Source organism: Homo sapiens, chromosome 9 (genome assembly GCF_000001405.40).
Source record: "Homo sapiens chromosome 9, GRCh38.p14 Primary Assembly".
Taxonomy (NCBI): domain Eukaryota; kingdom Metazoa; phylum Chordata; class Mammalia; order Primates; family Hominidae; genus Homo; species Homo sapiens.
Genome location: NC_000009.12, coordinates 130020392 through 130036736, shown reverse-complemented (window position 1 = coordinate 130036736; position 16345 = coordinate 130020392). Strand labels below are relative to the sequence as shown.

Sequence of the window (16345 nt, the reverse complement as noted above, 5' to 3'; positions counted from 1 at the left end):
AGATTTCTGTTTGGGATGAACATGGCAAGACCAACAGGGGAGATAATACTCCCTGAACCATGGTGGGTAGGGCAGAACTGCTTCAGAAGAGAAACAAAATCAACTTAGTTTTGCCATCCTTACTTCTCCATGAGAACAAATTTTGCACATGTCTTTTCTGTTTAGTGGATATTAAAAGAAAACAAACCGTGGGAGGCCTGGAGATTTTGCAGTTGATATTTAGATATCAGTTTTGTTGCCCTCACTTTGTACATTAGACAGAATCCTGAAAATTTGTGTAAATTGCCATTTTGGTAGGCAAAACTGTACTTTAAGCACATAAAAGAGTTTTATAAGTGTCTATACTTACTATGTGAACACATTACAACTCATGCTTTACATTGGTGAGACATGGAAAGTGCTTCTTTGAAGGACTATTCAAGTATCACCCACTAAGCAGCTAAAGCTAATATTATGTTTCCTGCAAGTATTACTCATACTTGTTTCATCAACACCACCCACATTTAAAAATAAGGCTTTATTTTGACACTTAAAAATTGAAAGCTACTAAGAATACATGAATGCCCTGGGAAATTAATCTAATTAGATTTTAGAATGTGGGTGTGAAGTCTTCTGGAATTAGTGTTTATAAAGGAATATTTGTTTCCTGTTTTACTTGTACACTCATACTAGCTTGAGCCTAGTAATGTGTTTAGTTAAAAAAACTTTTTTTTTTAATGATGAGGCCAAATATGTGTATTATATTAGAGAGTAATTTGGGGGTATGTAAGTTTTTGTTTGTTTGTTTTTTGAGATGGAGTTTCGCTCTTGTCGCCCAGGCTGGAGTGCAATGGCACGATCTCAGCTCACTGCAACCTCCACCTCCCGGGTTCAAGCGATTCTCCTGCCTCAGCCTCCCGAGTAGCTGGGATTACAGGCGTGTGCCACCACGCCTGGCTAATTTTGTGTTTTTAGTAGAAATGGGATTTCACCATGTTGGCCAGGCTGGTCTCAAACTCCTGACCTCAGGTGATCCACCCGCCTTGGCCTCCCAAAGTGCTGGGATTACAGGCATGAGCCACCGTGCCTGACCTCTCTATTATCTTAAAGTCTCGAATGATTGTTATCATTACTGCCATTTATTGAGTGCCTACTATGCCCCAGGTGCTGGACAAAGTGTTTACATCCATCATCTTGTTTATTTGTTACAAGAATCCAGCAAGGTAACTACCATTTGTGCCAATATCCTGGAAGAAGAGGCTTAGATGGAGTCATTAGTACAGTTTTACTGGGGAGTAACACCTGTGAAGGGGAAAGAGTGGAAGCCATCAGATCACGATGCAGACCTGACAGAGTCCCCACCAGGCCAATGGGGAGCTCCAGAGCAGACACAAGAATCCTCTGGCAGAAATGGCTCGGCCTCTGTATCTCTGCCTTCCTTTATCATTGGCCAGAGGTCGTCCCAAGAAGAGGATGGCCTTGGCTGCCAGCTTGCTTAGTCATTGGCTGGGGGTGCTACAAGAAGAGATGCCCTCGACTCAAAAGATGAGGTGGACCCTAAAGGAGGCTGCATGCTAGCCACAGTCCTTGCAGCTGGGCAGCGAGTCATTTTTTGCCACTTCTCCATGTTGCCCAGGCTGGGGTGCAGTGGCACGATCTCGACTCACTGCAACCTCTGCCTCTTAGGTTCAAGTGATTCTCCTGCCTCAGCCTCCCAAGTAGCTGGGATTACAGGCACATGTCACCACACTCTGCTAATTTTTGTATTTTTTTTGTAGAGACGGGGTCTTTCTATGCTGCCCAGGCTGGCCTTGAACTCCTGGGCTCAAGTGATCCTTCCACCTTGGCCTCCCAAAGAGCTGGGATTACAGGCATTAGCCACTTGGCCAAAAACTGGATCTTCTGTGTTAGTAGTGCACAGTTCCCTTTATCCCCACCACTCACTCATATTTCCCCATCACTGCAGTAGATTTTGCTTTATAAAACAGTTGATGTTATTCATATTGAGAATCACTGAGAATCAATGACTCACACCACTAAATGCTGCAGAGCCAGCAGAAACAGTCATGAATGAAGCTCGTACTCAAGCAGATGCTTCATAGATGTCTAGTAATCTCCTAATCCTTTCAAAGCCAGTTATTGTTTCTCTTTTCTAATTTAAATAAATTTGTGTGGATATTAATTAGTAGGAGTAGTATCAAGTTTCTGAATTTGCCCAACAGAAGTATGTCTTGGCGAAAACTATTTTTAAGGAAATTGAGAAAGAACAAGGAGGAATACAGAGTCTCACTCTGTTGACCAGGCTGGAGTGCAGTGGCACAAACATGGCTCGCTGCAGCCTCAATCTCCTGGGCCCAAATGAGCCTTTCGCCTCAGCCTCCTGATTAGCTGGGACCACAGGTGTACACTACCACGCCTGACCAACTTGTTTTTTTTTTTTTTTTTGAGATGGAGTCTTGCTCTGTCGCCCAGGCTGGAGTGCAGTGGTGTGATCTCAGCTCACTGCAATCTCCGCCTCCCGAGTTCAAGCGATCCTCCTGCTTCAACCTCCCGAGTAGCTGGGAGTACAGGCGTTTGCCCGGCTAATTTTTTGTATTTTTAGTAGAGACGGGGTTTCACAGTGTTAGCCAGGATGGTCTCGATCTCCTGACCTCGTGATCTACCTGCCTTGGCCTCCCAAAGTGCTGGGATTACAGGTGTGAGCCACCGCAGCTGGCCTGTCTAACTTTTTTTTTTTTTTTTGAGACAGAGTCTTGTTCTGTCACCCAGGCTGGAGTGCGGTGGCGCAATCTCTGCTCACTGCAAGCTCTGCCTCCCAGGTTCATGCCATTCTCCTGCCTCAGCCTCCCGAGTAGCTGGGACTACAGGCACCCGCCACCATGACTGGCTAATTTTTTTTTTTTTTTTTTTTGTATTTTTAGTAGAGGCGGGGTTACCATGTTAGTCACTGTGTTAGCCAGGCTGGTCTCACTCTCCTGACCTCGTGATCCGCCCGCCTCGGCCTCCCAAAATTCTGTGATTACAGGCGTGAGCCACCGTGCCCAGCCCGGCCTGGCTAACTTTTTTAAAAAAGTTTTTTTTGTAGAGGTGGGGGGGTCTTCCTGTGTTGCCCAGGCTGGACTTGAACTTTTGACCTCAAGTGATCACCGGCCTCGGCCTCCCAAAGTGCTGGGATTACAGGCGTGAGCCACCATGCCTGGCCGACATTCAGGGTTTTAAAGTTTTGAGTCTTCAGGAACAAGAAACGAAACACTTTCTCTATTATCTATAGCAGAAGAAAACTTGGGACCTGTAAAGGAATCTCCTCCCCTTGTACTTCTATTTGCACAGCCAAAATTGAGAACGGGTTCCTGAAATCCATTTAAAGACCAGACAGGCTCTGGGGACAAACGGTGTGGGTGCTCCCAGTTGAGTGAGGCAGTGCTGGAGGGCTCAGCCTGGGTTGCCTTGCTTACCTAATCTAATATTTATTAGTATCGGGCAAGTCCTTGCATCTCTGTTCCTCGCTTTCCCAATCTATAAAGTATGGTATGATGCTTGCCTTTCTCTTGACAAGAAGGCATAAAGGTGAGAGATTGTTCGTAAAGTACTTTGAGGTTGTTGGATGAAAGGTGATAGGTAAACACAAATTATTATAATCATGGGGAAGGTTAATGAAAAAAACTCTGGTCCCTGGGAACAAACTGTAGAACTCTCCTGCGGTAAGCAGGATTCATGAAAAATGAGCTATTTTCTGTCCTAGCCTTCTGATTTAAAATTTGGTGTACATGTTAACAATACAATAAACCTAATATTTGGAAAATGCCTGGAAATCGTTGCTTTGGACAGGAAATCTGGATTTCAGGAGGTCATATTAATAGCATGTTTATCTTTTCCTCCTTGAAGAAAAATAAAATCCACTCCAAAACACTAATCATACTAATTTTTAGCAGTATACTTGGGCCTTCTTAAGATTTAAGTTTTTTCTAGGGGGAATTAATTTTCTTTGGCTATTATTACCACTTTAAAAAAAAAAAAGTTCCACTGAAGTCACATTATTTCCTCACCTAAAAAGCTGGATATTTGCTGCTTGAAACATCTAATGAATTATTCTGCCTATCAGCTTAGTTTGGGATTGATTTCTTCTTGGCAGAGATAATGAAGAGGTTTAGAAGTATTTGCATTGGAACAGATATGGAAATTTCTGGAAATGTTTGGGCAAGGACATTTAGATTTCATAAGTGTATATGTGTATGTAAAATATATTCTTCACCATGACTGACTTTTAAAATTTACATTTTACTTATTGGCCAGGCACGGTGGCTCATACCTGTAATCCCAGCATTTGGGGAGGCCAAGGCGAGAGGATAGCTTGAACTCAGGCGTTCAAGACCAGCCTGGGTAACATACTGAGATCCCATCTCTACTAAAAATTAAAAAATTACCTGGGCATAGTGGTGCATGCCTGTAGTCCCAGCTACTTGGGAAGCTGAGATGGGAGGATCACTTCAGACCAGGAGTTGGAGGCTGGCTGCAGTGAGCTGTATTTGTGCCATTGCACTCCAGCCTGGGTGACAGAGCAAGACCTTGTCTGGGAAAAAAAAAAAAAAAGTTTATTTTAACTTATCCTTAAAAATAGGCTATTTACATTGTTCAGTTTCAAAAGTAAGGTGTACGTGTGAAGTCTCCCTGTCATTCTAGGAGAGGTTTAGTTCTTGTTACGGCCATTTTTGGCAAGAGGAGTAGTGGTGGTAGTGCTCAGTGTTTATAACTTTGTACATAAAAGGAAACCAAACAAAATTGTAAAAATTTCATCAGGCCAGGCGCAGTGGCTCACTCCTGTAATACCAGCACTTTGGAAGGCCGAGTCGGGCAGATCATGAGGTCAGGAGTTTGAGACCAGCCTGACCAACATGGTGAAATCCCATCTCTATTAAAAATACAAAAAACTTAGCCAGGCATGATGGCGCTCGCCTGTAATCCCAGCTACTCGGGAGGCTGAGGCAGGAGAATCGCTTGAATCTAGGAGGTGGATGTTGCAGTGAACTGAGATTGTGCCACTGCACTCCAGCCTGGGCAACAGAGCGAGACTCCCTGTCAAAAAAAAGAAAGAAAGAAAGAAAGAAATTATTGTGTAATAAGGACTAAGGTAGGGTAACTCCATGGAAATGTGTACAGGAGTGTAACTCAGGTGGGGAAATGGCATCCAAGTGGAGTCCTGAAGGACTAGTAAGTTTTACAGGTGAAGTGGGGTGTTCAGAAGGGTGGAGGGGATCTGGACAGAGCCTTCCGGGAAAAGAAGGAGGAAATGGTATGTCCAAAGGGTCATGGAGGGCACAGAGCTCTCAAATGATGAGCAGGTGATGGAGTTGTAATAGGAGCCTGAAGAGGCAGACTATAGCTAAAAACCATGTGAGGACTATGACCTCACCTTGAGAGCATGGGAAATACCCTTGAACTGCTGAAAGCAGGTACCTATGGTGCCAGTTTTCAGTGTGGAGAAGGATGGAGAGGAGCTCGGTAGCTTCAGGCCACGCTGGGCCGATTGGCTGACTGGATTACTGGAGTGGGTTTCAGTAGAGAGCCTTTCTATCTATTGCATTTCTCAACCTGTTTATATGTGGGTGGAATAAGGCTAAAATGGATTGCTGGGGAGCCTTGGACATTCAAGGGAAGGCCTAGTAGTGAACAAAGAAGGCCTAGGAGCCACCCTCTGCCTCCTCCCACTTCAAGATGTTCAAGGGGGAGGCATGTTCCCTGCTCTGGCTTGTGGGGTAAATCAAATATAGGCCACAGGTCCTTTTTTCCACCAGCTGGGTGCAAAACCTAAACCTACCAGCACTTTATTCTTGTCCTCTCTGTCTCTGCTCAGATGATACAACCTTGTTAGGGTTATCAGGGTTTGTTCCCCAGCTCTTTTAAGCTAGCAAATTTCTTATTTTCAATATGCCTGGAGGTGACTCACACTAACCTAATTCCCAAGCCTGTTGAATAAACCAGAATGAATTTTAAACTTATAGTGAGAAGTATATTCATAAGCAGACTGAATATTCATGTTGGCTGATCCGTACGTTCTCGCCCTGTAGGCTAATCTGGGTGGAAAGCTAAATTCTTTATAGCATTTCTTGGAGAGCATAAAATGAAAATAGGATTGGATGAGTGTAATGGCTGATGACAATGGGAGCCCTAGGCTTCTGCCTCCTCTGGAGGACAGTCTACGTTACAGTTAGAATAGAGTCTGTTTTATAGATGCTGTGTAGGTGATTCCTTTCCTGTTAACCCATTCTTTCTTTAGGCAGACTATAGCACAGTTAGTTATGTTTAGATTTTTTTTTTTTTTTTTGGAGACGGAGTCTTGCTCTGTCACCCAGGCTGGAGTGCAATGGTGCAATCTCGGCTCACTGCAACCTCCGGCTCCCAGTTTCAAGAGATTCTCCTGCCTCAGCCTCCTGAGTAGCTGGGATTACAGGTGTGCCCCACCACGCCCAGCTAATTTTTGTATTTTTAGTAGAGGTGGGGTTTCACCATGTTAGCCAGGCTGGTCTTGAACCCCTGACCTCAAGTGATCCACCCACCTTGGCCTCCCAAAGTGCTGGGATTACAGGCATGAGCCAGTGTGCCTGGCCCTGTTTAGGTCTTTTTAATTCCAATCTCTATTCAATCTTTCATGCCTGCGATTATATTCAGGTACCCAGATTGAATGCTGGATATTTATTATCTCATCACTTTCTAGCATTCCCCAAATTGGCAAGTCTGAGAAATCTGTAGTTTTTTTATGTGTAAGAATCTGTAATTTTTGTTTGTTTGTACTCCATCACCCAGGCTGGAGTACAGTGGCTCAATCAAGGCTCACTGCAACCTTGACCTCCCGGGCTCAAGCAATCCTCCTACCTCAACTTCCCAAGTAGCTGGGACTACAGGCCGGCAACACCACACCAGGCTGATTTTTGCATTTTTTGTAGAGATGTTGTCTCGCTATGTCACCCAGGCTGGTCTTGAACTCCTGAGTCCAAGCGATCCCCCTGCCTTGGCCTCCGAAAGTGCTGGGATTACAGGTGTGAGCCGCTGCACTTGGCCGTTTATAAGAATCTGTCATTTTAAAAGCTCTTCTAGGTAGTTTTGATGTGGCTTAGGTAGCACTGTTTAACATTTTGATTCCTTCTCATGCATTCTCAGTTTTTGCTCATTTTTATTCTTTATAGCAAATCTAAAATCTAGCAATATTCTACTTCCTTACCCAGTCAGCTACTGACAAACATTATCATCATTTTAAGGTACTCTTTGTTCTCTATGGTTTTCTAGTAATGACTTATTCAGGTACCCAGATAAGTCATCATTCATTAATTCATTTGAAAAAGATTATAGGGCTGAGCATGCTGGCTCATGCCTCTAATTTTAGCACTTTGGGAGGCCAAGATGGGCGGATCGGTTGAGCCCAGGAGTTTGACACCAGCCTGAGCAACATGGTGAAACTCCATCTCTACAAAAAATTAGCCAGAGGTGGCTGAGTTGGGAGGATCGCTTGAGCTCAGGAAGTTGAGGCTACAGTGAGTAGTGACTGCACCACTGCACTCCAGGCTGGGCGACAGAGCAAGACCCTGTTTCAGAAAAAAAAAAGAAAAGAGAAAGAACAATATTTTAAACTACTTATGTGCCAAGCATTGTTCTAGGCAAAGGGAAAATGGCAGTTAACCAAATAGTAAAAAATGTTTTGCTTATATGTAATCTGTATTTACAGTGTGTCAGATAATGATAAATGCTATGGACAAAAACAAGGGAATGAGACGGAGAACAGTAGGATTGAGCTTGATGGGGAGAAGAAGTGTAGTGCTGGACATTTTACAAGATGCCTGTTATATAACTAATTATCTAATATTGCGTCGATAGCCTAGTATATGCATCTGGAGCCCAGGGAAGAGATCCAGCCTGGAGATATAAATTTGGATAACCAGAAAGCTAGAATTAAGTTGGTAAAATGCTAAGCTCTTGGCAGAGTTGCATTCCTCCAAGCACTTTATTTAACTTTGGAACTCTGTTACCTAGCATAGCTGTCATAACGTGTTGCCCTTTTGGACAGTAACTCTGCACTCTGTTTGCCAAAGTGTTTACCTCACTGAGAACCATTGTGTGAACCGTGTTTTAGACTGGGAGGGGTATAGACTGTTAAGAGTTTATTGGTTTGCAAATTGTTATAACAACATAATAAGTGGAGCTGGAGGTTCTGATAGGCTTAGAAGTAGAACTAATGTACCAAGTCATAAGTGGAAAAAAAAAAATGTCCACTGATGGGCATTCAATTTTTGGTAGTAATCAGAAGTTAATATCACACATCATTCTAATAGGCTTTTGAAGACAGACTAATAGTGTAGGCTTTTCCTTTGAAAGCTGCCCATGTGCTTATTTTGACATGGAGATAAAAAGAGAAAGTTTAGAATTACTCAGTTCACACCTTGTTGACTGAGATTTCTGTTGTACCTGATATCGTTTAACTTTCCTCTTTATCTTTCTTAGAGATACTTCACATGTGGGACAGATTATATTTTGGAAAGATGTCCACAACAATATTGCCCATCCCACATTGCTCATCTTACAATGTGATCTCAAGACTCCTCCCACTGAGTGGGTGAGAAGGGACTTATACCACTTTCATTTGAATCTAGGCAGATCTGTGTGACAGCCTTGACCAATAGAGTATGGTTAAAGTGATGCCCCCAGGCATGGTGGCCCATACCTGGAATCCTGGTTTTTCCGGGAGGCCCAGGTGGGGGTAGAGGTGAGGGGGATGATTGTTTGAACACACGAGTTTGAGACTACCCTGAGCAACACAATGAGACCCTATTTTTTTTTTTAATGATTTCTGAAGCAGAATCACAAATAGCCGTGCGTTTTTTTCTTGCGCTTTTAGGATACTTACTTTTAAAACCCAGTCACCATATTGTTAGGAAGCCCAAACAGCACACATAGAGAGACATACGGAGAAGCCAACCATAGAGGTTCCTGTTGACAGCTCAGTCGAGGTCTCAACCAACAGTCATACTTAGCTGCCAGCCATATGAGTGAAGGGCTTCCAGATGATTCTAACGCCCAGCAGTTGGGTCCCCCCAGCCTGTAAGCCTTCCCAGCTGAGGCCTCAGCAATGATGGAGCAGAGAAAAGTTGTCCCTGTCCAAATTCCTGACCCATGATAAAATGGTTGTTTCCCATCAAGTTTTGGGAGTGATTTATTATACAACAATAGTAACTGGAACAATATCCTTAGAAGTTGTAATAGATAGTATTAACACTACCCCTTCTTCATTTATTCAAGGACAAAGCTACCATGTATCCTTTTATTCTAGTTTAAAGATAAAATGAAATCATTGTCTCTTTGAAAAAATGCTTAGAATATGAAATTTAAAAGTTGAGGAACATTCAAAGAGTTTTATACTTTTTTATCTGAAAATGAGAAAATAGCAAACCAAAAAGCTCTGATGTGAAGACATTAAGACTTCATGATGGCTTAATGTCTTCATAATGCAAACTCCATAAACAGTTTTTTCTAAGGTTCTTGTCACATGATCATACACTTTGAATATGGTGATTCTGTCATTTTTCATAAAATCTCAGGGTTTTTACATTATTGTCATAACCACATAACCACTGAGTCACAAAAGGGGACATTTCATTGCAATTTCCTTTAGTAAGATATGGTTTTGCCATTTCCCCCCCAAATTTCATTTCCTCTTCCTTGAAATATGAGCCATGCCAATCTACTTCAGAAGTGTTGTTTTGAGGAATATAAAACAAAAGACAAAACTTTTTTTTTTTTTTTTTTGAGACAGGGTCTGGCTCTGTTGCCCAGGCTGGAGTGCAGTGGTGCAGTCTTGGCTCACTCTAACCTCCACCTCCTGGGCTCAAGCTATCTTTCCACCTCAGCCTCACAAGTAGCTAGGACTAACAGGTGTGAGCACCATGCCCATCTAATTTTTGTGTTTTGTTTTTTGTTTTTTGGTAGAGACAGGGTTTTGCCATGTTACCCAGGTTGGTCTCAAACTCCTGGGCTCAAGTGATCCACCCGCCTTGGCCTCCCAAAGTGCTAAGATTAGAAGCGTGAGCCACTGCACCTGACCCACAACTTTCTATAGCTTTAGTTGTGAAATAGAATTACTGTTCTGGAGGCAGTAAATCAGCCAGACTAAAGTTAGGCATCTCAGATCTAGTTCTGTCTCTGCTGCTTATTCATTGTGTTCACTCCTCAAATCTTGAAAGAATATTTATTTTAAGATCTTTTTTTTGTTTGTTTTTTTGAGATAGAGTCTCGCTGTGTTGCCCACGCTGGAGTGCAGTAGTATGATCTCTGCTCACTGCAACCTCCGCCTCCCAGGTTCAAGCGATTCTCCTGCCTCAGCCTCCCAGGTAGCTGGGACTATAGGCGCATGCCACCCTGCCTGGCTAATTTTGGTATTTTTAGTAGAAACGGGGTTTTGCCACATTGGCCAGGCTGGTCTCGTACTCCTGACCTCAGATGATCACCCACCTCAGCCTCCCAAAGTTCTGGGATTACAGGTATGAGCCACCGTGCCTGGCCAATTTTCTCATTCTTAAAAGATTTCTACAATTTAGTCAGTGTGTCATATTGTTCAAGAGTGTGGATCTGGAGCTAGACTGCTTGGTTCATATCCTGACATTAACTAACTGATTGATTTTGGACAAGTCATTTAGCCTCAGTTCCTTCATCTGTAAAATGGAGATAATGATAGTGCCTACTCCATAAGATTATATGCGAAATAAACTCTACTAGTGTTGGCTATCATTATCCACCTCCACATGTTGCTGGTTGTCATGATATTTCATTGATATCTTTTTTTTCTTTTTTTGAGATAGAGTCTGTCTCTGTCACCCAGGCTGGAGTGCAGTGGCACGGTCTTGGCTCACTGCAACCTCCACCTCCTGGGTTCAAGCAGTTCTTCTGCCTCAGCCTCCCAAGTAGCTGGGATTACAGGCATGTGCCACCACGCCCGGCTAATTTTTGTATTTTTAGTAGAGACAGGGTTTCACCGTGTTGGCCAGGCTGGTCTGGAACTCCTGACCTCAGGTGATCCACCCGCCTAGGCCTCCCAAAGTGCTGGGATTATAGGCGTGAGCCACTGCGCCCGGCCTTCCATTGATATCTTGAATTCCATGTCGAGACTGAATGATCACTTTTTTATTAGGGGTATTGTGGACGTGATCAATGAATTTGGTATAAACTAGACTGTGTGACCTCGAGTCCCTTCAACTCAAGTGTTTCAAGGTAATCTGAGTTCCAGGATCAACTGACACTGAAATAGTGATCCTAGGAGTACTGATTCATAATGAGCAGATAACATGGCAATGCCAATTACAATAGACGATTTCTAAAGTTAGAAACTTTACTTAGAAATTTTATGTTGAGTCCCACACTGTAGCTCAAATAAATGCTAATGTTAACAGGAGGTTTGTAAAGGGTTCAACAATTCAAAAAGTGACACACACCTAGAATCATCAGGCACATTCCTTAAGTTGTGAGGCACTCGGTACATAGATTGAATGTCTTGGGTGTGACTCCATAGGCAAAAATGTCAGGGACTATTTTTTTTTTTGAGATAGAGTCTCGTTCTGTCACCCAGGCTGGAGTGCAGTGGCGCGATCTCCACTCACTGCAACCTCCACCTTCTGGGTTCAAGCAATTCTCCTGCCTCAGTCTCCTGAGTAGCTGGGATTACAGGTGTGCACCACCACGCCCGGCTAATTTTTGTATTTTTAGTAGAGACAGGGTTTCACTATGTTGGCCAGGCTGGTCTCAAACTCCTGACCTCAGGTGATTCACCCACCTCGGCCTCCCAAAGTGCTGGGATTACAAGCGTGAGCCGCCTGGCATCAGGGAGTAGTTTGCTGAACAGAAACCTTTTGGCTAAGGTTTATTGTTTATTTTGTCAGTTTGGCAGATCAGCAAGTGAGTAAGGTAGATAAACAATGTCATTGCAGAAAAATTTTAGGCAGTCAAGTGCTTTATTTGCCAAAAAGATTCAACCACCTGATGGAAATGAAAAACAGGATGATACGATGGCTTCTTCCTTCACTTTCTCACTTTCCTTGGATTATGAAATGCCAGTAATTGAGAAAGCGGAATGAACAGTCATTAGAGATGGAAGAAAACCCTAGAGAGAAGTTGGAAGTAGTTGGGTGGGATAAAGACTTTCTGATAACTTCAAGCAGATCTAGAAATTGGCATTGGATTGTTAGAGAAAAATTGAAAATGTAAAATGTTAGTTGCATGAGTGGGCAACAGATACTCTCCATTAGCAGTGTTCAATTACGTGTCACCAATGTGCAATAGTCTGAGACAGGCAGGGTCTTGCTCTGTCACCCAGGCACTGTCAGAGCTCACTGCAGCCTCAACCTCCTGGCCTCAAGCCATCCTCCCACTTCAGCCTCCCCAGTAGCTAAGACTCAGGTGCACACTACCACGCCCAGCTAATTTTTTAATTTTGTAAATTTCTTATTTATTATTATTTCCTGTTTTTTTGGGGGGGGTAGAGATAGGATCTCACTATGTTGCCCAGGCTAGCCTTGAACTCCTGGCCTCAAGTGATCCTCCTGCCTCAGCCTCCCAAAGTGTTGGGATTACTTACAGGCATGAGCCACTGAGCCTGGCCAAGTTCTGTTTATTTAGATAATATTTGCTTGTAGTATGGACCCCACCCAGCTCACAAGCTTGGGGTGAGGGACCTGGGGGTTAAATGACGGCAAATGTAAGCCAACCTAAAGGTTATATGTATGTTGATTCTTCAGATGTGGCCGAGATCAGGCAAGGCAGCTCACAGGGAGAGTAAAGGGTACTATTTTATACACTAGGTACTTGGTAACCAGTCTGAATTGTGGGCCAGTCCTAGGGACATGGGGCAAAAGTAAAGAAAGGAAAGGAAAAAAGACTAGAGGGAAATGTAGGATACACTCACGTGGATGGAAGATTGAGTCCAGGGAAACTGAGTAAGATGCCAAATGCTCACGATAAAAGGATGACGTTTCCATGGGATCCTGTAGGCATCACCGAGAGGGTACTGTTGGGAGAACACTTAGGAACCCAGATCACCTAACATGGAGTGAGTGGGGCTCAGATCTGAGCAGAAACCCAACAAGGACTTCCCAACTCCAAGTAAAGCTAAATTTAGACAATCCTTTTATGTTGCTGGTCCCTCTTGCAACACAGTCTCCTCCGGCCAGGCTGCCTTCTCCTTCTTTATATGCACCAGCCTTCTTCCACCTCAGGGCTTTGAACTCCTTTATCCCAGCTCTGCCTTGCCCTTGGCCGGGGAAGTCTCTAGCCCTAGGTGCTTCACCTTCAGCTAACCCTATTGTGTGCAATCCCGACCTCCTGGCTCTCTCTAAAGTCAGTTACACACGCCAGTGAGCTCTGAGGGTTCAGCCAAGATTGAATACACTCTGTTAAAGAAGGGGAATTGGGGGAAAAGCCAGATTTTAAAAGCATGATTTATTTCTTACTTGTTTATGTATTTTTGAATAGGCCACACCTGGTGTGTGACTGCCCCAGTCATTAGGGGATTTTTTTTTTTCTTCCCTGGAGGCAACCACCATAACTGGTTTCTTGTGAATTCTTCCAGAGAGCTATCAAGCATTTATGAGTAAATTCCCCCCTCCCTTACAAATGTTAGCATACTAGTCACACTTTTTGGTACCTTTTACCACTTATAATATCTTGGTGGGGGTTTCTTTTCCTTAGCCGCCTCATTCTTCTTAATGTAACTATTAATCCTTCTTCTGTTTTTTGTTTTTGTTTTTTGACAGGGTCTTGCTTTGTTGCCCAGGCTAGTCTCAAACTCCTGGCCTCAAGCAGTCCTCCTGCCTCAGCCTCCTGAAGTGCTGGGATTACACTGGGCAACACGGCCAACCCCTGTCTCTATCAAAACAAAAACAAAAATTAGTTGGGCGTGCTAACGCACACCTGTAGTCCTAGGTACTTGGGAGGGTGAGGTGGGATGATCACCCGAGCCTGAGGAGATCAAGGCGGCAGTGAGCGGTGATTGAGCCACTGCACACCAGCATACTGCACACCAGGCCACAGAGTGAAACCCTGTCTCAAAAAAAAAAAGAGCGAGTGTTGGTATTTGTGTGAAATTTTTATTGAGGATATTAAGACAAAGTGTTGATGTTCTATACTTTGAACCCAAAGCTTTGTAACTCATTTTCTACTTGTAACTATGTAAAATATGCCTGCTTAGTATACCAAACAGTATTCTTAACTGTATTCTTAAGGTCGGGCACGGTGGCTTACCCCTGTAATCCCAGCACTTCGGAAGGCCGAGGTGGGTGGATCACCTGAGGTCAGGAGTTCAAGACCAGCCTGGCCAACATGGTGAAACCCTATCTCTACTAAAAATACAAAAAAATTAACCGGGCATCTTGGCGCGTGCCTGTAATCCCAGCTACTCAGGAGGCTGAGGCAGGAGAATTGCTTGAACCCAGGAGGCAGACATTGCAGTGAGCTGAGATCGCGCCACTACACTCCAGCCTGGTGATAGAGTGAGACTCCGTCTCAAAAAAAAAAAAAAGTTAATTTTATGTTAGATGAATTTCACCTCAAATTAAAAAGAAGAGAAAGAGGCTGGGTGCAATGGCTCACGCCTGTAATCCTAGCACTTTGGGAGGCTGAGGCGGGTGGATCACTTGAGCCCAGGAGTTTGAGACCAGCCTGGCCAACATGGTGAGACCTTGTCTCTACAAAAATACAAGTTAGCCAGGCATGGTAGCCTGCACCTGTGGTCCCAGCTACTTGGGAGGCTTAGGTGGGAGGATCACCTGAGCCCAGGAGGTCAAGGCTGTAGTGAGCCAAGATAGCACCACTACACTCCAGCCTGGGCAACAGAGCAAGACCTTGTTTCAGGAAAAAACAACAGGTTAGTACTGGGCATCTTAGCTATCTCTTAGACGACAAAGGGCTAATTTGGGATGGACACTCCTTGGTGTTTGGAAATTTAAAAGCCAATGCAAATGCTGTATAAAACAATTGATCTTTAACGGTTCAGCGGGATCTATAAATTTTCTCCTGAGTAATGAAAGATTGCTGTGTTTTTTTTTGAAGTCTCCTTAATGATTGTCTGTGTACTTACTCCCTGTTGCAAAACAGGTAATGAGAGTATATTAGGTGCTATTTTAAAATACACCCACAACATTAAACTAAATTCAAATAATTAATTGGAAATTGTTATTTCTGCAAAGTAATTTCCACCAAATCAGTCATTAAGCTATCTACTAAAACCAGTATTTAGTGGCTTTTAGTCAAGTTGGCTAATGGTAGACTTCTCATGGCACGTGGGAGAAGTAAGCTGAAGTAGCAGAAAATGGTATTTGCAGTGAGTGTTCAAGGCGAACTTTTAAAAATACTTTACAGTAATTACAGCATGTGGCTGAAAATAACTATTTGGTTCTTTTTTTAAACCACTATAGTTAGATGGACTATAAACATCATTCAGTTTCCCTGTGTTGTGATTCATTTCCACAAACATGTATTGTGCCAGGCACTGATTTAGGTGCCACAAAAAATAGATAAGAAATGGCTTGACAACTGTCCTTAAGTTTAATAGGCATGAGATTTCTAGATACTGCTCTACTAATGTGTCATTGCCTACAACTCACCTGTTCTGAATGACCACTTTTTTTGTTATCCTATATCAGAAGTACTTGGAAAAAAATAACCAGCAATTTGACGTTTTGGAGAAATGTTTTATTCTCTTCTGTTTTTCACCAACCAAGCAAGCAGCAGTGATGTTTTGTTTTTTTAAAAATCAGAGGCAGGGATCTGAGTATTTCATAGGGATTTCAGTTCGTTTCAGTGATAGAGGATGTTGGCACTAAGTCTAAGTACCACAACCTAACGGGGCCATCTCATTTTACATTCCCCGTTGTTCCTGCAATGGGAACGAAGGCCTGAAAGCTGCCTGCCACATGAGAAAAATGGCAGCTTTTCAAAGTTCTCGAATGTTAACCTCCCTTGAATCTGTTAAGGCATTCAGAGCACAGTGCAAGAAACTTAAGGTTTGAATTGGACTGTGTCTCCGCTGAGTTGGCGTAGCATATTAATTTTCTATTTCTATTGGTAACTTTTGTTGTTGCTAAATTCTTAGTACCTTTTGGTTTTATGTTGATGCGAAGTAGTTTAAGTGTTACAGAAACAGTGGCTTTAAAGTTATGGTATTGCTTTTCTCAAATAGGCAGCACTTAGTAAAACAAAAAGAAAAAAAATTGCCTAATAAGCTGGGCACGCTGGCTCACTCCTGTAATCCCAGCACTTTAGGAGGCCAAGGCGGGTGGATCACTTGAGACCAGGAGTTCGAGACCAGCCTGACCAACATGGTGAAACCCTGTCTCTA

General features: G+C 43.3%; 1 protein-coding gene across 38 annotated transcripts in view, besides 8 other annotated features; it reads left to right on the top strand.

Annotated features, from left to right (window-relative positions):
- Positions 1-16345, top strand: part of FNBP1 (formin binding protein 1) — a 166693-nt gene that overhangs the window by 17143 nt on the left and 133205 nt on the right. The window lies entirely within an intron of this gene.
- Positions 1045-1545: an enhancer, noted in NCBI's record as "H3K27ac hESC enhancer chr9:132797471-132797971 (GRCh37/hg19 assembly coordinates)". NCBI's record gives its function as "activates a minimal SCP1, AML or CMV promoter by ChIP-STARR-seq in primed H9 embryonic stem cells {active_cell/tissue: H9 hESC(primed)}" and the evidence as "EXISTENCE:reporter gene assay evidence [ECO:0000049][PMID:30033119]".
- Positions 1045-1547: a biological region, named in NCBI's record as "H3K27ac hESC enhancer GRCh37_chr9:132797471-132797971".
- Positions 1468-1547: an enhancer, noted in NCBI's record as "active region_29147". NCBI's record gives its function as "activates an Ori minimal core promoter by ATAC-STARR-seq in GM12878 lymphoblastoid cells {active_cell/tissue: GM12878}" and the evidence as "EXISTENCE:reporter gene assay evidence [ECO:0000049][PMID:35858748]".
- Positions 1546-2046: an enhancer, noted in NCBI's record as "H3K27ac hESC enhancer chr9:132796970-132797470 (GRCh37/hg19 assembly coordinates)". NCBI's record gives its function as "activates a minimal SCP1, AML or CMV promoter by ChIP-STARR-seq in primed H9 embryonic stem cells {active_cell/tissue: H9 hESC(primed)}" and the evidence as "EXISTENCE:reporter gene assay evidence [ECO:0000049][PMID:30033119]".
- Positions 7344-7513: an enhancer, noted in NCBI's record as "active region_29146". NCBI's record gives its function as "activates an Ori minimal core promoter by ATAC-STARR-seq in GM12878 lymphoblastoid cells {active_cell/tissue: GM12878}" and the evidence as "EXISTENCE:reporter gene assay evidence [ECO:0000049][PMID:35858748]".
- Positions 8493-8542: an enhancer, noted in NCBI's record as "active region_29145". NCBI's record gives its function as "activates an Ori minimal core promoter by ATAC-STARR-seq in GM12878 lymphoblastoid cells {active_cell/tissue: GM12878}" and the evidence as "EXISTENCE:reporter gene assay evidence [ECO:0000049][PMID:35858748]".
- Positions 12566-12716: a silencer, noted in NCBI's record as "fragment chr9:132786300-132786450 (GRCh37/hg19 assembly coordinates)". NCBI's record gives its function as "represses an EF-1alpha promoter that drives an FKBP-Casp9 reporter gene in an ReSE screen in HepG2 liver carcinoma cells {active_cell/tissue: HepG2}" and the evidence as "EXISTENCE:reporter gene assay evidence [ECO:0000049][PMID:32094911]".
- Positions 14052-14171: an enhancer, noted in NCBI's record as "active region_29144". NCBI's record gives its function as "activates an Ori minimal core promoter by ATAC-STARR-seq in GM12878 lymphoblastoid cells {active_cell/tissue: GM12878}" and the evidence as "EXISTENCE:reporter gene assay evidence [ECO:0000049][PMID:35858748]".